At 38.1% G+C, this 23,646-nt stretch overlaps 1 protein-coding gene across 6 annotated transcripts; it reads right to left on the minus strand.

Annotated features, from left to right (window-relative positions):
* On the minus strand, positions 7,639-23,228 carry PRL (prolactin). 6 transcript variants are annotated; one of them, XM_011514754.3, is made up of 7 exons: positions 23,153-23,228; positions 22,225-22,237; positions 17,348-17,472; positions 14,802-14,980; positions 12,931-13,038; positions 10,567-10,746; positions 7,639-7,986 (listed from the first exon to the last, which is right to left on the minus strand). In XM_011514754.3, exons 3-7 carry the CDS (start codon positions 17,373-17,375, stop codon positions 7,795-7,797), a joined length of 687 nt encoding a protein of 228 aa, XP_011513056.1. In that variant the 5' UTR covers positions 17,376-17,472; positions 22,225-22,237; positions 23,153-23,228; the 3' UTR covers positions 7,639-7,794. The 6 variants fall into 6 exon arrangements, with proteins under 6 accessions (XP_011513056.1, NP_001157030.1, XP_011513055.1 ...); NM_001163558.3 differs by lacking the exon at positions 22,225-22,237 and having other exon boundaries at positions 14,802-14,977; XM_011514753.3 differs by lacking the exon at positions 22,225-22,237.

A 23,646-nucleotide genomic window follows, 5' to 3' on the forward strand; every position in this document is an offset into this window, starting at 1 on the left:
GGTTCCAATGATGGTTTCATTTTTAAAGCCTTTGGTGTGTTATTTTGGTCTGTTTGACTTACCTGATGTTTCTTGGGCTCACACTAGTTCCTGCAGAAGGGGTTTCTCCAGACTGGGTCACTGGGTGTTCCTAGGTGAGAGAAGGCAGTCCCAGGCCTACAGGTAGAAAGAGGCTCCCTGACCAGATCTTACGGAATGATCTCTCTACTGTGCCCCTAGTTGCCCCAGGATCTCTGGTCAGAGGAGGGGAGTATTAGGCCTAGGAGACGAAGAGACTTTGCAGGTCCTGCTGCCTGCTGTGTCTGGGTCCCTCCTCCTGGTTTCACCCACTCATCCTGGTATCCCAGTATGGATGGGAATTCCAGGCTTGTGGCGGCTTCCCTAGAAAATACTTATTCTGACAACATCTTCTCTTCTTTGAGGGCCAGAGTATTTCCCAGGCTGGGTCACTTGGTATGACCCCCTTGAAGGCACCCTCTGGAGGATGTCACAGGCCCTCAGAGGCAAAGAGGCTCCAGGATGAGACTGCATGTGTGGAGTTTCCTGCAGGTGCTATGGGGCAACCTTGGTCTCTCCCCACTGGAAGGAGAGTGCTTCTCCCCATCCATCCCCCTTGATGATTCTTCCTGGTTTGGCTTGTGCTTTCTCAGGGGCTCCAGTTCCATTGTGGGAGGTGTGGCCTTACCAAGGCTGCTTTCTGGTGCTGGGTTGAAGGAAAATGCTGGCCTTGGGTCACTTTGTTCTACTGGGTCACTTTGTTCTACAGGGTGTTGCTCCTCTAGTCATTGGGTCCCAAACCAGCTCACCTTCTTCTTACCAATAACCAGAGTTCTCCTTTATTTGCTTCTTGCTATTTTCAGGGTGAGGAGTGGGTACAAATAGGTGTACACCATCTTGCCTGGATTGGAAGCCTAGGGTCTATTTTAAACCAAGGGAAGACGTTTCAATGAAGGAAGATGTGGAGGAAAATGAGAAAGACTGCACAGCAGGCAGAAGGGGATGGGAGCTATGAAGCCCTCTTTCACTGGAGGCAAAGGAAAGCTGAGAAACTACTCTAGAGGCATACATATCTATCTCTGAGTTAGTATGCTTTCTTCCCCCTTCCCCAAATTTCAGCCTTTTGTATTTCTTCATTCATTCTCTATATAAATAGATATGTGTAATGATAACCACGGTAATTTTTGTTTTTGTTTGTAGGCCATTGCTTTGCTTTCAGTGTGCCTTGAGGTTTAAACCCCTGAAGAAAAGGAATCTATTGTGAAATTTGGATTATTGTCTAGCAGTAGATGAATTGATGATGGACTGATAAAAGGGTTAATGATGATAACTTAATTGAGCCTACAAAATTTTATATATGCATACAAAGAGATATATTCACATATAATTTTATTTCTAGCCCCTTGTGGTATTATGAGAGTTTCAATTTAAATTATACACAAAATAAATTGTTTTATTATGGTTGCTAAACAAATGTGCTGCAAGTATGTGTATGGATACCTAATCCATTAGCCCAGAGGCCTTAAAAGTGAGTGTTCTCAATCCTTTGAAAAGAAAATATTAGCATTTCTATTTCTAGTTATTTTTTATCTCAGTGTCCTTTCACTTATATTTTGTGTGTATTTTAAATGCTATAACATACTATAACAGCAATGCATATATAAAATTTAAAAATTATATAAATTTGGGCACAGATAGGGTGCTGTAAAATCAAAATAGTTTGGAGATTAATGCTTCAGGCAACAGAAGATTTTCAAAATTCACTGCATAAAAGAGTACTTAATTTGGGGGCATTCTTCCCAGAATAATTTACAAAATCTTAAACTGAAGAGAGGCAGAATGTTCACAATATTCATGTATGGATATGTTTGAATAACGCATTTCAATCTCAGAACCTCAGAGGAAGAAATGTTTTTGAAAGCGTGTGGAAGAGAAAGAAATCTGGCAGCTCAGGACAAAACTTGGATCTGGGATGCAAGGGAGCACAGGTTTGCATGATTTAATGGAGGAAAGCCGGCTGCTACTGCTCTCAGTAGGTTCTAATCTATCTTTTAAAATCTCTTCCCTTTTTCCACCTGTGCGCCTAAAGCTCCTTATCGTACTTTCTTTTTTCTATAGCGTGATTCACCTGCTAACATACTATACAACGAACTAGTATTAATGTTTATTGTGGGTTGCCTGTCTTCTCCCAGCTAGAATGTAAATTCCATGAGGTCATGTGTCTTCATCGGCTCATTGATGTAAACCAAGCACCTGCAACAGTGCCTGAATAAAGTGATGATTAACTATGTATTTGTTAAATGACCAATAGCAGGGTCCTGGGCTGGCTTACAAGTTTTAGGCCTTAGTGGTTTTTATTAGCATTACAGCTAAAGTGCTCTGCGGTTAATGTCCCAAGGTTAAGATATTCTGTTCTCTTTGTCAGCATAAACATAAACTACATTTGGAGATTTTTTTAGATGCCATATGCTGACTAGAATGTGCCTTTAAGAACACAGTATTCTTGATTTTTTTTTGTACAAAATACATTAGTTTTTTGACTTAGTGCAATTAAATAAATCTTACAATCAGAGAGTTATTTTTAACAGTTGAGTTGAATAAGACTTCTCAGTGCCAATTCATATAGCGCCTTCCTCAAAGAAGCCCCTCCTGATTAGGCTCACCTGGTTCCCATCACGGTTGTATGTCATGCAACTGTGCGTGTGTCTTTAAAATATGGATCATGCATTGCTTTCTAAATGTCTTTCGTGGCTTCATTTGTGTTTCCTGTCTTTACTATCCAAGAAAATGATAATCATTGCAGAAGATGTAGAAGTAGAAAAGTTGTACCTGGCTGCTCCTGAGCATTTTGGAAAGATGTTGAAGAGAAGTCATTTCACTATTAGGGATTTCTGTTCAAGGGATTAGGAAGCTTTTTAGTTTCAATGGCCCCTAAGTATGAATTTACTTTAGAAGTGGACTTTTAAAATATGTATTTAATTAGTGACTAATTGACCATCTGCTGAGAGCAAGGCAATGAAGGAACAATAAGCAAGGTTGGATTCAGAAAAAAAGAAATAAGCAAGGATGGATGGATTCAGAAGAAAGAAATGAGAAACTCTCGGAGAAAGCAGACAAATGTAAGGGGAGCATTATTCATATTTTGTTTAGGGTTGGCTCTGTAAGTAAATTGCTTTTATTTTATTTTTATTCATCCACTCTGCTTTACAAAGTATGTCTTATTTAAGTGTTAAAGGAGACAATGATTATGATTACTAGGAAGTATAAATCCTTTTGTTCTTCTATCTTATATAATCTTGCAGAGGTTCTTGAATATAATCATTTCTCTGGTTTGCTTAAATAATTTTTGATGATTTTTTTCTGGTCCAAATTCAATGAAATACAGGAAAACAAAGTTTGTATGCATTTGGAAAGAACATTGACCTCATCCTCTCTTCTCTCTGACTTTCCCATCATTTGTGGCTCTTGGGTGTCTGTTTGACTCTTCTATCTATATCATGTCCTCCATATAGTCCAGGCCTATTGATGTTTCTATATGGCCCATGTCCTTTACTTTTTTTTTTTTTTAGATGGAGTTTTGCTCTTTTTGCCCAGGCTGGAGTGCAATGGTGAGATCTCGGCTCACTGCAACCTCCGCCCCCCAGGTTGAAGCAATTCTCCTGCCTCAACCTCCTGAGTAGCTGGGACTACAGGCACGCGCCACCACACCTGGCTAATTTTGTATTTTTAGTAGAGATGGGGTTTCTCCATGTTGGTCAGGCTGGTCTTGAACTCCCGCCCTCAGGTGATCCGCCCGCCTCAGCCTCCCAAAGTGTTGGGATTACAGGCATGAGCCACTGTGCCTGGCTTTACTTCTTTCCTCTTGGCAGAGCCCTTTTTGATTTTCTCTTAGAGTATCATGATATTATTTCGACTTGTTTCTGGACCTCTTATTTTTTCCTCTGCCTGTCTCACACTCCCACAACCTCCCAAACTAGATTATTATTTCTATTTTCCAATTCTGCACATATTGCTCTCTTGTATTAAAATTTGCTGTTTTCTTGTTGTCTGGCAGAAAAAGTACAAACTCTCCAAATTGGCATGAATGATTCTCCTCAAAGCATAAACAATCCTACCAGGTTTTCCCCCATTATTACCCTACAGCAATGTGTCTAGCACATAATAATGAGAGCTATTAAAAAATGTTTGTTTAAAAATGAACATTTCTTATGTTTCAGCCAGACTTACTTATTATTAGTGATACTTTATAATGCTATATGTAGTAACATCTCAGTTCCTTTGTTCGGGCCATAGGGAAACCTACATCATAAAATGCCGTAAGTTAATTGGCAGATAGGCTGTCTTCCTATTTTTGCCTTTTAGTATCCCATCAAGGCTTCAAAACTTCGTCGCAAAGCCATCACAGCCATGCCACTTCAGAAACACTTCCTTGTGGCCAGGCACGGTGGCTCACACCTGTAATCCCAGCACTTTGGGAGGCCAAGGTGGGCAGATCATTTGAGGTCAGGAGTTCGAGACCATCCTGGCTAACATGGTGAAACCCTGTCTCTACTAAAAATACAAAATTTAGCCGGGTGTGGTGGCAGGTGCCTGTAATCCCAGCTACCTGGGGGGGGCTGAGGCAGGAGAATCGCTTGAACCTGGGAGGCAGGGCTTGCAGTGAGCCAAGATCACGCCGCTGTACTCCAGCCTGGGAGATAGAACAAGACTCCGTCTCAAAAACAAAAACAAAAAAAACTTCCTTGTTGTCACATCCATGTCTCCCAGCTGTTCTTTGAGTCACTGTAGCACTTTGTTTAGCATCACCTATCATATCATTTCCTCTACCATGTAGCATAGTAATTTTCACATTTAGATAACCCTCTTTCTCCACAACTTGAGAGCAAACTCCTAGAAGATAGATTTTTCTTACTTTTCTTTTAGACCTTGTAGTACCCATAGCAAGTGATTTATTAATCTATGAGATCAGTACCTTTCAAGGGTGTTTGGTGTTTTTTGTTTCTTTTTTGTTTTTTTTTTTAACCACTGCTGTTCTTGCCATAGCAGGGCCATTTCATCAAATGTAATCTTGCATGGAAATCCACAGAAGAAGAAAAAAAACAAACTCCCTCTGGTTGGAAGAGATGTGATTGTTATATTCTTCCCAAATATCCTCTTCCTGCTACCCTTTGCTGACTGTACAGAACACCCATTGCTCCGCTCAATCTTATCTGAAAACTACAGTATTTAGTTTATATGTCATAGCCAACCAGGGCGAGGCCTTTTACTATCACCCCATCAGTGGTTTACCAGAGCTCTAAATATGTGCTTGGAATAAACACTTAAGTAAGGAGGAGTACATGAAGTTGCATATGGTTAGTGGTTACCTTATATTTCTTATAATTGTATGTCCATTTATTGCCAAATTTTACCCCTGATAAAACCCATCCTCACTGTTGGAAATAGCTAGAAATTGAAGAGAAGGAACCTAAGTGAGTAACATAATAGGATTAGATGTTTTCAACAAATGACTTAGAAATAAAGTATATACAGGTTTTCCTGTGCTCTTTTGCTTTTTGCGAGAAGAAGGCTGAAATAGGAGCAAGCTGACATTTTGCATGCATTTAGGAGGAAAGGGAGGGGTTGATAGGATTGGTTTGGAGCAGAGTATTCTGCTGTATTCTGAAAGGTTTGGTTCATCACAGCTGGAAGCAGGGGCAGGAAGGATTCCGATAAAAACAACCCTGGCTATGAGGAAAGATATTTTTTTGGGGGGGTGGGGGGAGGTTGGGGTAGTGTTCCTATGAGCGTGGGAAAGTTTTCTCTGAAGAGAGGTGGAAAATTGCCTTGAATTCTGATCTGAAGACATGCCAAGTTGCTTATCTCTAGAGCTATAGCCACTCAATTGGTAAGGGCAAAGAATGCTCCTAATACAAACGAGAGTTTCAGGAAAGGAAGAAAGAAAAGGGAAGCGAAAGGAGTATATGAAATAATATTTGCTTTTATGGTATAAAAATTAAGGGAGATTTAGGTCTTCACCAAGAGCAGTATTCTAATAACATCTTAAAGACCCAAACCTTTTGTTCATTTTTCTTCTTCTTATCTTTCCTCCCTTCTCTCTCCCTTCCTCTTTGTTCTACCCCCTCACCTTTTTATTTAATGTCTATCAGAAAGTTGAAAGTGATGTTTTCCATTGTCTATTTTCTAGAAATCCCTGCTAAAGCCCAGAAGCTGCTGCAAAACCAGCCTGACAATACCACCGCCTTCTAAGGGGAGCTTGCAATGAGGTTAGCCCTCATTTTAGGTTCTTTAGAGGCCACTGAACAAATTTAGGGACCCTCATCCAGTCACCTCTCTCCATACTCAATAAATAGAAGATTAGGTATTTTAGGAGGGTGTTATAATTCAGTGACCTAGTAGAGAATGTTTGTGAGGTTGACTCTCCAAGATAATTGCTAATAGAGATAATTACTCACTAGGTTTAAAAGAAGGAAAGACTAGCATCTCATTCCTGAGGTGAATGTCTGCTAATGAATCCAACTTCTGATCTACTCTGTGTCTATGTCAATGGGAGAAGGGAATTGGTAGAGACCCCGGGAAGGGGTCAGCCATGACCTAGTCCTATTGCTACTTCATTACTTGGAGAGGTTACGATGCATGAGTTTCCTATGGGGCAGTTGACACATAGCTGACCTCATGCCAGTTTTCTTCAACAGAGTTCCTGCAGGATGAGGGGAGCAATAGCAGAGGCCGTGGAGAATGCTACGGATGGCAGAGCTATGGGGCGAATAGGAGAATCAAGCCAGAGCATTTCCCCTGGGAAAGAAACTATACTGTGTGGTGTCCTCACTGGTTGGTATCTTGGAAATTATAAATCAATTCCACTAGAAAGACACCCACTACTCAGAGAAAATCCAAGGTCGGTCCCTGTCAACAAGGGGAAGGGTACGATAGTACTACCTAAGTCAGTGATGTATGAACTTTTTCTTCTCTGCTAGTCCTCTATCCCATTCCAACACAGCCAGAGGAATGGAGATCCAGAAGAGAGAGGCGGAAGAAAAGTTGCAGGAACTGACCACATCTGCTTTCTCTGTTAGGTCCTTTGAGCCAACACAGGGGGAGAGAAAAGCATTAAATAACTTAAACATGGAGTTGAAACCTGACTGGACCAGACTTGTTAGACTCAGAATTACTAGAACATGAAATGTGTGCAAGATAATGCAAAAGAGATGGGAATTTAGTAGAGAATGATTGAACATAGCTATTAGAAAAAGAGAAATCCATGTCATGTTTATATCCTAACAATTTTTAGACTGCTCAGTAAACTCCATACTATTTGGAGGTTTTGCAGTTGCACAGTACTTATATTGTCTGTCATAACACTGAAAGTTAACTGACAGAACATGCCTGCTTTCATAAAGAATCCAGAGAATTCAATCTTCTTTGTAGAATGACTAGCATGATTAATAATCTAACTCTTCGATTCTAATAACTTGACCCACAATAATCTACTGTGATTTTAAAGTAAGCTGTTAATTGTCTTATGTGCAAGGCTAGCTTCTGTTGTTTATGACACATTCTGATAAGAACTTCTTAATGGGAGTGATAGATTTTCTTTTGATTTTCTATTAAATGAAGAGAAGAAACTTTGACAAATCGGCATTTTAGATTTTGATGTCTCTAAGGAGTCAGTTTTTATTTTTTAAGAGGAGACCTGTTACACCCAAGCATGGATTCAAAAGAGATACAACTAAAAGAAGCTTGCAATGGAACGGATCATTAAGGACCTTCTCAGAAATAGATGAAATGGATGTGGGCTTAGCAGTTGTTGTTGTGGATGATTCGGCACTTCAGGAGCTTGAGATAATTGTCGATTTTATGTGAATCCCTGCGTAGGCAGTGGAGCAGGTTATAATAAGCAGAAAGGCGAGACTCTTCATCAGCCATCTGCAGGGATGGAAGTCCCGACCAGACAGGGTAGATCTCATTTTCTTTGGTTTCAGGATGAACCTAATCACACAAAAAAAGAGTGACTTATTCTTCATATTATTAGTATTTGTATGTCCTTGTTCTTTCTAACTGTTGAATTAAGAATTGAGAATGAGATATGAATGCAAAGTTTTAGACAAAGGCAATGATTTTTGTATATCTGGGCCAGTGTATCAGAAACCTATTAATCTAAAAACTAGAAGCAGAATACCTGTTTAGGTTCTCTGACATCTATGGGATCACAGATGAAGTATGTTTTTGCAGGAGTAGACAGATGAAGAACTGGAAAGGTACTATGTAAATATTGACATAGATTTGACGAAGAGACAATGGAGTAGCTAGCTTCGGTGCTCTCACTTGAGGAACTATTTCATTTCTCCAGTCTTGTCCCTGATGTATCCCTTGTGCTTTATTCTTCCTGACATCATTTATTTTCTTCCTGCTTTGAACTCAATCTATTGCCTATCTAGTGTATGTTCCAAAAACTTTAAAAAAGATGAAGATTGTACTCACACTTGATGCTTTGGGGTACAGATAATTTAGTGATGACCATGACTAAGAAAAGCTGCTTACATAGTCAGGAGATTTTCATTTCCTCAAATTTCTAGGGGAAACAATTGCTTTCTTTTGAGGTCCCTGGGCTGGGAGGTGCCGGGAAAAGCACCTACAAGGAAAGGGTACAGGCCGGGTGTGGTGGCTTACACTGGTTCACGCATTTTGGGAGGCAGAGGCAGGTGGATCACTTGAGGTCAGGAGTTCAAGACCAGCCTGGCCAACATGGTGAAATCCCATCTCTACAAAAACATACAAAAATCAGCCGTGCCTATTGGTGCACGCCTGTTGTCCCAGCTACTTGGGAGGCTGAGGCATGAGGATCGCTTGAACCCAGGAGGCAGAGATTGTGGTGAGCCGAGATGACACCACTACACTCCAGCATAGGTGACACAGTGAGAACTTGTCTAAAAAAAAAAAGGTCAGGGGGTTGCTGGCAGCAACCCTTCAGTGGTGAGGGCTGTGTGGTAGGGTTGGGGGCATGGCTGTGATAACAAAAGGAGGCTGAACAGCACAACAGAGGGCATGCTATGTTTCTTCACACTCTATAAGCCTTTGCAAACCAGGAAAGCCCAGAGGTCTTAGAGACCAAGTAACCATTTTAGCAACTTTAGGGATGTCAGCTAGTTTGGAGAGTTATTAGGTATATATCTGGATGTAGACGCCGATCTGCTAAACCTTTTCCTACAAAGTGAGAATATTTTTCAAATCTGGGATTCCCTATTGGAATTTAAAGTGTGTGTGTGTGTATGCGCGTGCGCGTGTGTGTGCGTGTGTGCGCGCGCGTGTGTGTGCGTGCGCGTGTGTGTGCATGTGTGTGTGCGTGCGCGTGTGTGTGCGTGTGTGTATTCATTGACTGGCTTTATGTTTTTATTTTTAATTTTTGGTACTTGAGCCCTAAGACAAAATTTACTGTGTAAGGGATAATGATATGAACAAGAATACTTAAATAAGTGGTAGAGAAAAAAGAACAGAAAATGAAGTACTATAGAACAAATTAGTGACCTCAGAAATGAGGTTTACAGTAATGAAGAAAATAACTGGAAAATCAAGGTATTTATTTCACACATTCCAAGGTTAAAATGTGCTTTGTGTTTGTTTTGGACATATTTTTCTCGCATGAAAATAACCAAAATGATACATGATAACATGTACTTAGTACACAAAAAGAGAAATACAAAATTGTTCCTGTTATTATTCCTATAATCATATATTTTTCTTTAGATGGTACATTATCCCTGAAAACCTCAGAAGCTGTTTAGGTATTATCTCACTAATGTTGAAATTATCCCATCTGAATGGAGATATCTATTGCAAATACTAACACAATCTAAATATGACAGATTATTTGGGGGAGATTAAGTACAATGACATGAGTTTTGACTTTGGAGTCCCAAGAAAAAACAAAATTTAGAATGAGACAACTTTCTATAAATTACAAAATGAAGACATTCCAGAAAAGGTATATCTCCTTCTTTTGTGACTCCCTGCAATCTCGTGCTTGTGGGACCTCCTGAAATCAATGCAACCTGTGTGCACTGATGTCATTGTCTTGTCATGTTAATATCTGCTCCTCCCTGACAAGTCTGTGCAGCAGATCGGGGTGAGTGGCTGAGGGCCCATCCAATCTGATTTTGGTTTTCTTCTTTCTCCCTTCCCACTCTCATCCTCTGGCGAGGGGAGAAAAGAGAAAGAATTTTCAATAGTGGGTGTCCTGGGATACCCTGCAGAAAGCATGTATCTTGCAGATTCTATTCTCTAGTTTTCACTCCCTTGAAAACACTTAACTTCTTGTCCTCAGGAAGGGGCAAGTCTTTTGTAGTTTTGCGTGTAGGTGTAGGGAAAATGACACCTGTCAAACAGCATTCTAAGATTCATTTACATGTATGTAAATTTATGACTATGAATGACTAGGCTCTTGCTTTATTTAATAGCGGTCTATAATATGGAATGCCTAAATTTCCTTCTTTCAAAGGGAAATATTTATCATCACAGAGGTCACCGCTTATATTAATGAGAAAAACAAAGAAGCACCAGGAGGCTGCTCACCTGGCTGACTATCAGCTCCATGCCCTCTAGAAGCCGTTTGGTTTGCTCCTCAATCTCTACAGCTTTGGATAGGATAGCCTCCGGGGCTTCTTGCATACCACGTACTTCCGTGACCAGATGATACAGAGGCTCATTCCAGGATCGCAATATGCTGACTATCAGGCTCAGAAAGTCTTTTTGCTACGAAACCATATAGAACAATTGCATTAAAATAGGTAAAATACAATGGGGTTAGTTACTTGTGATTTTTGCTTAGAGAGGCTGTACTGAAATATCTTTTTTTATTCCTATGTGTAGGTACATTTTTCTTTAGGTGAGAGAATTTGTAGAAATGTAAAATTGAAACTATTGGCCTAAACTTTGCTAAAATTAAAAAAAAATCCGGCTTATTTCAGTAACCACTTTTTCTAATGAGAGTTCTAATTGATAAAATGAAGAATTTTGTTTTTCCTCTGAAATTCTACCATCTGTCCACTTAGTAAGATCTTTCGTATTTGATTGATTTGCTTGTCCCTGGGGAGAAACTAAAGTTTTGCCGAAACTCAGTAGGTGCCCAGAGTATCTGACTCATGAGAAATAGATTCCACTGGGGTCCATGCCAAGGGGCCCAAATCACTCTCATCCAAGCATTCGTTCATACTAATGAATCAAATTGTTCATCGAACTATTCATTTTTGATTTGTAGTTTTATTTTGGGATCCTAGAACGAAGAGACAATGAAGATGACATGGAATTCATCAACATGCTTTCCTTGATCTACACAACCGCCTGCCCCATGCTGCTGGCAGAGCAGTCTGTTCTCTTGGCCTATGCAGGTAAATAAAATGGAACCAATGTTATCTTGAATAACCATGGAATTCACAATGGAGTTCTGCCTGCCTAGGTTTTGCTTACTACCACGATCGTGTAGGAGACTCCAAGTAGCTGATTATCTCTGATTTAAAATGCTTACTTTGTAGATGTCCGTGAACTAGTCTAGTGGTAACAAAATGAAGAATAAAGAAGAAATAAATGGACATTGCAATGGAAACATGTAAGAGGATATGAAAGAAATGAGCTATAAAGAGGTACAGGTCATAAAGTGAGTGTCAGTGTAGTTTTTCTGGGAGCATTGCAACACAACGATTAAGAGTAAGGGTTTTGAATAGAATGAAGCCCAGGCTCGCTGCTTACTTGCCATGTGACTGGTGCAAATTCCATAACCTTTCTGAGCCTCAGTTTCCTTATCTCAGTGAGTGTAATGACAGTACCTTGTGTTATAGGATTTTTATGAGGATTAAATATAGTAATGCCCACAAAGTGTCTGACAATGTAGTACAAGTTGAGCATTCCTAATTAGAAAATCTGAAATCTGAAATACTCCAATGAGCATTTTTTTTTTAGCATCATGTAGGTGCTCAAAAAACTTAGGATTCTTCAGTATTTGGGATTTCTGGTTAGTGATAACCTGTAGATCTCAATAAATATTTCCTCTTCCTCCTCCTTCTCCCCTTTCTCTTTCTCCTCCTTCTCTTATTATCATAATTATTATTAATGAACATAGCAGACAGAAATGTTGGTGCCATTCCTAAACTTGTAAATGGAGAATACATTGAATTTGTAGGTGGCATGCATATAAAGATGTTTGTTTTAAATCATGTTAAGGCTGTGATTATGGTAGACAACCAAAAGGAAGAGATCATAGCAATAGAAGATTGAAGCTGAGATACATGATTGAGGCTTGATATACAGACTTTGTAGTCATCAGAACAGTGGCAACTGTAGCTGTGAAAAGCAAAATATTATGTTTTACAGGATCTGTATTTTTTGTGAGGGGAGTGGTGACTTTTAACTAAGAAGTAAGAGAGGGCAGAAGAGTCAGTGAAGAATGAAAAAGTGGGTGTCAGAGTAGCAGAAATAGAACCAGAGTAGAGTCTTGAAAGTCCAGAACAGATGGCTCCAATAGTGCAGGGGTCAGTCATGTAACATGCTGTTGATGTAGGAGTCACGAGTAATATGTAATAAATAAAACTGCATTTCTTTTTCTTACAGATGCATAAATGTATATTTACTCACAGAAGTCCAATTCAGTTCAAACTTTCATAAACTGTATATACAATCCTAGCGACAAGGCATTGGTTAAAATAATGTTATCTGCAAGGACAATGTACGGATCTGCTATTTAGATTGCTGCCACCATCTTTACTTAGCATTTGATTTGACTCATATTTCATCAACTACATAATGTAATTTTTTGACTGCTTATTCTTCCTATATTTTTCTCTGCATGTACAATTACCACTAGCTATTACAGCACCTATCACCATGATAATACCCATATACTGCCTTGGTTGTTTTGGTGCAAAGCCTGGATGAAGGACTCACATTCATCTGTTGGGCTTGCTCCTTGTCTTCGGGGGTGGCAAGGGAAGAAGTGTGGCAGCTGTTGATGGCCTTGGTAATGAACCCCCGGCCATGGGTATACCGTTTATCCTGGAAATGATGAGACAAATTCAATTAGTTGGGGTTGTTTGGGCATTGAATAAATGAATCCATTAGCAGAATACTAATACCTTTGGCAGATGTGTAATTTTAAAAAATTAGAGCTACATAAAAATGAAAACTAAAGAATTAAGAAAGTAACCCTTTCGCCTACTTCCCCCCCATTATCTCTGTAAACTCATTTTTTCATCTAGTTTTCATAAATATCAATGTTTTTCCTTCTTTGCAATTCCCTTGTTGTTTACTTTTACCATTCACACAAGTCACACGAGTTGCTATTTGGAAAGCAAATGCTAAAAATAGCAAAAATATGCAACATTAAATGTTGTATTGAGAATCATCTTTCTTCAGCATTTGAGCCAAATGCCACAGTGCAAATGTATTTACATGTATTCATTTAATCTCTTATTTACTGTGTGCCCAAACTGATAGACTTCTCTTAATAGGCATTATAAAATCATAACTTTTCTCTAAAAAGTTTCTCTGAGTCCACACACCTATACCTTACCAAGTTCATGATAGAAACGGAACACAACTTTTTTTTAAATTATGACAAAATAATTCAGAAACACAGGGCACACAATTTTAGGAAATATAAACAATGGACTGAGGATAAGAACAGAATAAAAAATGAGCTGACACATTGACAGGAAAGACTAGTCTTCAGCAAAACTTATAAAAGTCTAAAGAAATTACTAGGAAGATTTGGAAGACAAAAGATGGCCAGTCAAAAATGGAGGATGAAAGCGAAATCAGAGAGTAAAAATAATTTTATAAATGTATGTTTATTCTCTGTGGAGGCCCTTGATTTATTAAAGCACTAATCTATTGTCTGCTCCTTGATTGACCTAGAAGAGTTAACCTATGATTTCCAAAATAGGTTATTCAGAAATAGAGTACATATTTCTGAAAAAGAAAAGAAAGGGAGGAAGGAAGGAAGGAGGGGAGGAAGGAAGGGAGGAGGGAAGGAGGGAAGGAAGGAAGGAAGGAAGGAAGGAAGGAAGGAAGGAAGGAAGGAGGGAAGGAAGGAAAAAAGGAAGGAAGGAAGGAAAGAAGGAAGGAAGGAGGGAACAAGGGAGGGAGGGAGGGGAAGCAAGGAAGGAAGGAAGGGGAATGGAAGGGAAGGGAAGAAGGAAGGAAGGAGGGAAGGAAGGAAGGAAGGAAGGGAGGAAAAGAAAGAAAAAAGCACTGGTTTCCAATTCTAAACTAGCCCTTTATTGTAATTATAAACCCATATACTGAAATCTCAGAGAAATGATTTCTAGCATTTTGGGGTTTTTGAAAAGTTATTATTTGTATATTTTCCCCACCATGGATTCAGCTCAGTTTAATTCTATTCAATCCACCCAATTTGCTGCAGTGCAGTTCTTCATTATTGGATATCTATTCCGTGCTAAGTAAAGAATGCCTGTGGAGTCTGACCTCTACATTCAAGAACAAGAAATCAACACTCTTCCTTCTCCTCAGCCCCACCTAAACATGCTTTAGGTCAGGTGTTTAAATTTTTTTATTTTTAAAAAATAAAGTGAATTAAAGAAAAAATTTAAGTCATTACATTCTTTGAGAATCTTTGAGATTTCATGGCACTGTCCCTTTCTTCTTGTTCCACATCTTATGAGCTGGTGTCTTCTTTCACATGTTAAAATGTATCGTTTGAAATTTGGCTCGGGAGGTTTTCTAGGTTAACATGTAGCAGAGCCCAGTAGTTCATGTGAAGGCTCCTTCAGGGAGGAAGCCAGAAGCATGGTACTTACGAATTCGCTGAACATTTCTGAGGAGAGGTTATGGATGTAGTGGGACAGGACGACGGCGCGGTCAAACAGGTCTCGAAGGGTCACCTGGCATCGGGCAGCCCCGCCGGGACAGATGGGCAAGGGGGCCACGCTCTGGCACAGGAGCAGGTTTGACACCAGCAGCAGCAGGAGGGACCCTGCTTAAATAAGAACGCGAGCCACTCTGAGATGATTTATTCCACGGAGGTTTTCAGAAGTAATCCTGCCGAGGAAAGCCTTATTGCTCCCCACTGCCCTCAGCTGCCTGATTTGCTACTGTAATGGCTGGGATGGGGGAAGAACAAACGCCTTCCACTGTGTAAATGTAGATATATAATTATGTTTGCACAGATATATAGTTTGAGAAGTGGGTTACCTCCTGCATTTTTGTACGTTTCCCAGAAGTGCTTCTGTACTTTCCAAACATTTGGAGCTTAAATTAATTCTGAGCTAGGGTGTTTGGATCATTCTCTTAAGATAGTTTAATGTCTTGGGAGTTTCTGCAGATTTTCAGCAGTCAGGCTGCCCAGCACTTTGTAATTTTTTTTTTAACTAGGTGTGTCTGATAATTTACATTGTAGACACTGATATAACAAAAACAGTACAGTCGATCCTTTCGATTTATCATCCTGCCTGATAAGAATAAACACACGATTGTTTGATTGCTAATACTGAGTTTGAAAAGAATTCTAACATAAAAATAATGCTGTAGTTTAGATCTGCTAACTCGTAATAGTCCCATGCATGTGTTTGACACTTCGCCAAAAACATTAAATTTTTTTTATATTTGAGCTTCATAATAACCTTGTGAGATACACTGGGCCTTTGTAATTATCATCAAATTATACTGATGAAACAGATGGCTTAGGGAGGTTAAGTGATTTTCCCCAAGTCGTATCATTAGTGGGTGAGAGAGGCATGATGCCAATACTGTGGTCTTTGCACGTCGTCTTGTCACATCGCGTACACCTGTGGGCTGTCAATCTGCATCTGTGTAATGGGGGCCGCATGAGTAGCCGTGATGGCTCAGTGTTTACATAGGTTGTTGCTGTCACTTTTAAAGAATAACAAGTTCTTTGCCTTTGATTGATTACATCACAACAGAGGCCCCAGAAAGCTTGATTTTCTCCACTTTTCCTGCTCTAATTACAAAACACTCTGATCTTTGCTGAAGGTTTTCAAAGCTTTGTCATCAATTTGCTATCTCAGCAAATGGACAGTTACAGTCCTATATATATCAATAATTTATACTTTCAAAAGGAAAGAAACGATAGATAGCTACCAAATTAAAATCACTTGTTAACTTCAGTGGCATTACCCCAAAAGAATGCCCAATATAAAACTGTGTTTATCACAAAACTTAAGTCCTTCAAAACCTTTAAGAAATGCAATCAGAAATGCCCAAGATAAAACTAGGCAAATGCTAAAGTTTAGTTTGTGAAAAAGTACCTAAACCTAAACACTTAAAAATACCTAAAAAATTGCTTAGTGTAGGAAGTGACTAAATCTGTTAGTTGTAAAATAAAATTTTTGTTTGAGATGATTCCTATTATAGACTTTTAATTTTTCAAAAACATGATTCTTCCAAAAAGTTTATTTTATGCATACTATAATCATATGACGAAACCAAATGTATATTTTATCTGTATGTGTAAATAAAATGTGCTTTGTAGATAGAGGAATTGGAATAGCAGGTCTAGGAAATTCACAACTGGATAGATGTTCTGTAACTCTGAGTACATTTATCTGCACATTTAGCATGGAAAGGATTTTTAAAGCCCAAAACGAGATAAAATAGACACATGTTTTTGTTCTTCATTTAATTAGAAACACATTTTATGGTTGTTACTAATTTATTTTCCTTGCAAATGTCAACCAAGAAAGTAAAGGTGATTAGTTATTACTAGGCAGTCTGTTTTTCCTTTTGAAATGTCATTTGGCTTGAACCAAATTGACAAAGAATAGGAAAGACAATTCTGTTGTTAGTGTCTATTTTATGGCTTCACAATTGAAAGTTTCATCAGGTTGATTCAAGTTGGCCAATCCACATTAGAGGCCTGATAACCAGAAAATGTTACTTTGTCCCTTTGAGAGTTGTGGCAAATTGGACCCACAGACTCTTTGAGTCTTATTCTAGTCCAGAGTTTCTCAATCTTGATATTATTGGCATTTTGAGTTGAATAATTCCTTGTTCTGGGGGCTGTCCCGTGCATTGAAGGATGTTCAGTAGCATCTCTCATCACTATCCATTAGATACCAATAGCACTTTTCCCTCACTTCCCCACCTCAGTTAAGACAACCCAAAACATCTCCCGACATTGCCAAATGCCTCTGAGAGAGGATTCCCCTGTTTGAGAACCATTGTTCTGTTCTATGGTGCCCTTGTAAAATTGCTTTCTAGAGGAAACATAAGATTGTGCTTCTAAACCTTGTAAACCTGCAAGCTCTTGTTATTAGTTAAAATTTCACATTAATCCCCCCACAGGAGTGTTGATACAACCAACAACGCAGTGAGTTGTCACACATACCTTTCCATGGCGATCCTTTGATGTTCATGTTCGTGATCGTTGCAGGAAACACACTTCACCAGAGAAGATCTGGAAGTCTCACGGTTTTCTCTTTCCCAGATATTGGCTTTATAAACCTTTGATATCTTCATGAATATAATGAATCAGGCATTCGTTTCCCTTTTCCTGGTCATCTATTTCCGTCATTGAGATTACCCCCATAATTTCAAACATCAAATGGTATTTTATTTCTTATTCATATTCAGGAAGACATACTGGCCAGAAATGAACATTCTAGGAAGGATTTTGATTAATTAGGCCAAAAGGAAATGAGAGAAATGATGAAGGTGAGATCTGAGACTAGATTGGTTTGGAGGATCTATAAAACTACAGAAGTCATTTACTTTAAAATTTATCTTATTTCTCTAAAGTTTGTTGAATATATAGGATTATATTTCACTTAGGTAACAATCTCATGTATTATCAGTTATCAAGTTTCTTCCTCAAGATTGCTAGGTAAAGATTTTAAAATTTTTACACTAAATACCAAGAGATATAGAATAAGGATTGAGAAATCAGGATTTTCAGTCCCCTGTTACACTGTCATTAAATTTCCTTCATTTTGTTGCTTTTTACATTTTGTTTTATCTTTTTGAAATACACATTTTGTTTTGTCTTTTTAAAAATACATGTGTTTTGTCTTTTTAAAAATAGCGTATCTGTATGGTACTTTGAATGTACATCTTCATCTGTTTATTTCTTTTGATTTTAACATATGTGTTAAGTGGTATTATTCTCTCCAGTTTACAGATGAAGAAACAGAAGCTTGGAGAGACTAAAGGTAAAGAATATGAAAGAAGTAGTTCAGTGCAAAAGTAATTGAGGTTTTGGGCTTTACTTTTAAATGGTAAAAACTGCAGTCACTTGCGCACCAGCCTAATAATTCTATAGTTGAGTTAAATGAAGGAACAATTATTACTTCACGGAAAATCAGGAGTCATATGAGGAAGGCTGGGAAATGAATTCTCTTGTAAACATCCTGTGGACCCACTTCTAAGACAAACAAGCTATAACCCCTGATTTAAGAGTTTATTTTGGGGAAGTGATGCAGTAGTTTTCCAGGGCAAACACACATGTGTGTGCACACACACAGACACACTTACACCCATCATTCTGGTATACCATGTAATAAACTGAAATTCTAGCCAGTAATTTCCACTCTTTTCAAGGATAGCAGTGTGTAAACTGTTATTAACTTATGATCTCTCTACCTTCTCTGACCCTGAGCCACTCTGAGGCCAAGGTGACAAAAATTCATCTTTCATGGGCTTAAAAATTCCATTCACCTTTTGGAAATTTCCTAAATGAAATGACTATAATGAATAAGAACTAAGTTTTATTGATGACTTTCTCTAATTTTTAAGTCCATGCATCTAAAGCAGCCTGTGACCTTTAGTTTCAAATTTGCTGTCTCTTACAATAGACTGATGAATGAGGTAATTTAAAAAATAGTCTTCCTATGGCATTTACTTTTTCCTTAGTTCCTAGAGCCACATATGTGCTTTAGCAATTATCTGACTAAGTGCTCTTATGGGGACCTAGAAATCTTAACAAAGACTAACGTCTCTGAAAAACTATCTTCCTAATTGCCTTAGTTTAAGGCAATCCTACATTTTGAATCATAAACATCAAATGTGATGATTCATAGACTCTCTCAATCTGAAAGCTGGGTCAGGATTCCATATACTCACATTAGGTATTCATTTTTTCCCTGGATGGAGAGAGTCTGAATTATTAAGAAAGCAGAGCTGTGTGGCAGAGAAATTAACATTATCCTATATTCTCCTCCTCTCCCATAAACTTAAGAGTAAGAAAATCTGTTATAAGAACTGACAATGACAACTTAATCTTAAAATTTAAAGGTGTTGCAACATTCTTGGATAGCCAGGATAAGAGCAATCTAAGAAAACCTAAGCTGTGTTTATTCAGGGTCTGTCAGTCGATTTATTTGACTGCAAAGAGGTACAGGTTTCTCTGTAAAATTTATTGTGTGTCTCCTTGCTGCTCCATAGCCCCACATTTCCTGTGAATGGAATATTGAAATATATAAATAATGCAAAGACATATATTATGCAAAAATCATAGTTGTCCTAATTCTTCTAACTGCTATGCATGTTACCCCCTTTCACCTTAATTTTTATATGTGCTTTCTTGCCAGGCTTTCTCTTTATCAAACTGTGCCCTTAATTTAAAACAATAAAGAAGTTCAGTAAGAATAGGGTTGTACATTTTAAAACTTTACAAAACTTCATTTGTTTGCCATTTTTGGTCTGAGAGCTTGTGATGCAACTGAGGGGTGATGATTGATTTATGTCAAGTAGCTGAATAAATAGCTCAAATGATGCTAAAGTTCCCATGCTATGTTTAGTACCTGAAACTAATAAACAAGGTTGCCATCTTTTCTAAAGAACGCTAGTTTTTAACATTAAGTAACATCAGGTTGGTTTTTATTCCTAATTTAGAACAAAGTTTGTATTTTCTTTTGTTTATCTGTTTTTAAGTTTGGAATAATTTTGTTTTTTCTTCTGTCACGTATGAAGCAAAGTATATTTAAAATCCTTCACAGGGCGGGCGCAGTGGCTCACGCCTGTAATCCCAGCACTTTGGGAGGCTGAGGCAGGAGGATCAAGAGATCAGGAGTTCGACACCAGTCTGATCAATATGGTGAAACCCTGTATCTACTAAAAATACAAAAATTAGCTAGGCGTGGTGGCAGGCGCCTGTAGTCCCAGCTACTCAGGAGGCTGAGGCAGGAGAATCGCTTGAACCCAGGAGGCAGAGGTTGCAGTGAGCCAAGTTCACGCCACTGCACTCCAGCCTGGGTGACAGAGGGAGACTCCATCTCAAAAAAACAAAAAAAAATTTCTTCACATAACCTAGGAGGTGTCTACTGCAAAATATGCTAAGGGATATTAAAGAGTGAAAGAAATTAAGAGTTAAAAAAATCCTCAGAATGAATGTATCACAAAGATATTTCAATTTATATTAGTAGTGAATTGTCTTAAATAAAATGAAATATGAAATGATTAAAGGAGTATTGTCTATGAATTGAAAAATTCTGAATAGTCGTCTTCTAATGACTAAAAAATTAAATAGGACGTGTGCTGTTTTCAATATAAAATATTAGACAATGTAAAGGGCACATTGGAGAAGAGATCAATAGTGGTTTTTTTTGAATGGCACTATTTTTAGAATAAGCAAAATGCAATGACTTAATTACATCCTACTATTTAGATTAACTTCATACATATTGTTGAATTGAATTTGGCCTAATGCTGCCCCATTTTCAGTAAACTGCAATCTAACTTAGTATGTAAACAAACTGCAACCTAAATTAAGAATATATTCTTGTAACAAGTAGCTGAGTCTTGGCCAATCTTAGCAGCTGAGCTTTCAGCCAGTTACAGGCTACAAACTGCTCAGATGTCCAAATAAGGCAAAGAAGGAGCTGTAATCAATGACACTATTTCTGTTTGTCATTTTATTTTTCTGTCTGTAAATACTGCCTGCCCACTTTGCAGAGTGGAGCTCTCTAAACCATTACTCGTTTAGGGTGCTGCCTCATTCATTAATTGTCTCTTTGCTCGTTTAAACTCTGCTAAAATTAATTTATCTAAAGTTTTTTCTTTTAACAATAATAAGACATGCTTTTGTTTTTTTGGAAGTGTTCATGTTCAGTGTTTGTTTTTGCTAGGGCTTTGGAGGTCATCAGTTTCCCTCAGTGAATGCAAGTTCTTAATCTGTTGTCAGTGCCTTGAGGGCATTTACTCCTTAAATAAGAAAACCATAGTGGAAGCATTTGGAAATTTCCCCTGTAATTCTTATTTTTTTCTTTTAATTACTGCTATACTATTCATATCCTCTGGTCTAGTTCTATGAAGTCTCTATGAATTGTATGTCACGTGCTTGTTCTGAATCATGTGTGCCTTTGTACACATTTTAATGCCTGATATAAAATAATGCCAGATTTAAGGATGACATGTCCAGAGTCTCCACAAACGTAAATCTCACTCTTTGAGAGTTATGTTTTCTTTAGGCAAAAGAATTAAATATTTAGCTGTATGCTAATCAGAAGTGAGATGGATGATAACTTTCCTTGTGAAAGGTTCCTCACACTTCAATATTCTGTCCATGTGCACAGGCACACACATTTCTTATCTGATGGAAAGTAGAGCTGAAGCATGCCTACTTCTAGCTAGGGATCAATTGGTCTATCTATCTACTTATCTATTACCTATCTGTTAATCATCTCTTATTGTTATCTAATAGGAAATGGGACTCTCAGCCATGCTTACTTCCCGGGATAATTTTAAATTTTATAATTTAAAATTCTAATTAGCACAGGCACCATCAAATAGAACAGAAAGCTATAGCGATAGATCAGGGTGCCTGAGGCCCCCTGAAATGATAGGCATTGATGTTTTTATTGTTTCATAGTGGTGAGACTGTAGGGGTTGACCTATGTGAGGGGCTGGGGGAGTCTAGAGGAATCAGGGCACTTGGAAAGTCAGGGAAGTGAGTCTGTACTAAGTATTTTGATATTGTAACAACTCTTAGGGCCATGCATGTGCTGACACACTATTACCCCTAACTTCCCCCACTGCCAATTTTTTTGCCTGTATTGAAAAGATTCAGACTGAAAAGTAGAGCAGGCTCTTCAGAGAAAATGCTACCCTTCAAATCCAGCCTACGTACCCTTTATCCTCCAATACATTTTTGTTAGAATTTGTCTAAAATATCTTAGCTGTGACATATCTGCTTAGTTTTTTTTTCTTATTTATTCATTCATGTCTTATCAGTATAACCAAAGGGATGATTTTTTTAGGAAAGCTTTTTACCATTGGGGTTGACCTAGAAGAAAATGGACATATAAATAAGAATTAATTCTTTGATGGAATGCTCTGATGTCCAACAGTAATTCAAACAAGTATAATACTAGGCTTTTAAATGATATATGGGAATGTAAAAGTTCAAGCTGTTGAAGAAGCCTTATGGGAAAGGCAGATCACAGAATCATGGATCTCACTAATGCTAATAAAATAAATGGAAAATAAGATTAAAAAGAAACTAAAAAATACACTTGTTATCAACAGTGGAAGGAAGTATGAACATGTTCATTTTAAAAAATGGTTTATATCTGAGAATCAATAGATATAGTCAAGCTGATTTTTTATCAGTTACGATTTCAACAAATGATGCAAAGTTCTGACTATAACCCTTCAAAAAATGGAAAACAGATCGTAAACCTTTTAAGTTGTCAGAAAAAGAAAATACACATACGCACACACACTCACACACCCAGAACACAAGACATTCCATTTAACAGAAAATAGAAAAAAAAAAAGGATATGTAGGCAACAAAAATATGCAATTAGGAGGCAGAATAAAATCAAGTATATTGAGATAAATCTACTTATTGAAATAAAAAAGACTCAGTTTCTCTAAAAATGGCAAATCCCAATTAAATGCTTATGTACAAGTGACATATCTTGTAGGGGAGAAGAGATTCCGTTTCTTGCCCATAGATAGGTTTATGCCTGACAGTCCTATAACAAAAGACAGAGTAACAAAAGAAAAACGTACAGATTTATTCAATATAAATTTACATGAAAAAGAGCCTTCAGAAATGAAGAACCAAAGAAACAGAGAAATGTGTATTTTTATGCTTAAGGTTGATAAAAAGTGGACAGTCATGTAGAAATACAATTGTCCAAAAAGGAGTATGATCTGAAATGACTGAACATTAATAAACTGTAGGGAACTTACCAAAGCCTGTATGTTCCGATTCTTCTTGGTGTCTCTGTCTTTGAGGGTACTTCTGGAATGAAGGTTCTTATGACCTACTTTATAGAAACGTCAGAGGATTCTTTTATGGCCTGCTTCAGGGGAGAAGGGTGGGAGAAGCTTACAGAGTGAACTTCCTGTTTTTGCTGTTTTCTGAAATGCCAAGATGCCATATTTTGTGGTAGTGTGTTCTGAACCCCATCAATCTAAATGAGTGGTTTTCAAAGGGCAAGCAGTTAGGAGGTGATTCTGCCTCCCAGGAGACATTTGGCAATGTGTGAAGATGTTTATGACTGTCATAACTGGAAGTGGGGGTGCTGCTGGCATCTGGTGAGCAGAGACCAGACATGTTGCTAAACATCTTACAACACACAGAGCAGCCCTCAGAACATAATATTATGCCATCCAAATGTCAGTAGTGCTGCTTTTGAAAAACCTAGATTAAAATGGAGTGTCTAAAAACGTTGAAGTACAAA

The sequence above is a fragment of the Homo sapiens genome, chromosome 6, assembly GCF_000001405.40.
Source record: "Homo sapiens chromosome 6, GRCh38.p14 Primary Assembly".
Taxonomy (NCBI): Eukaryota; Metazoa; Chordata; class Mammalia; order Primates; family Hominidae; genus Homo; species Homo sapiens.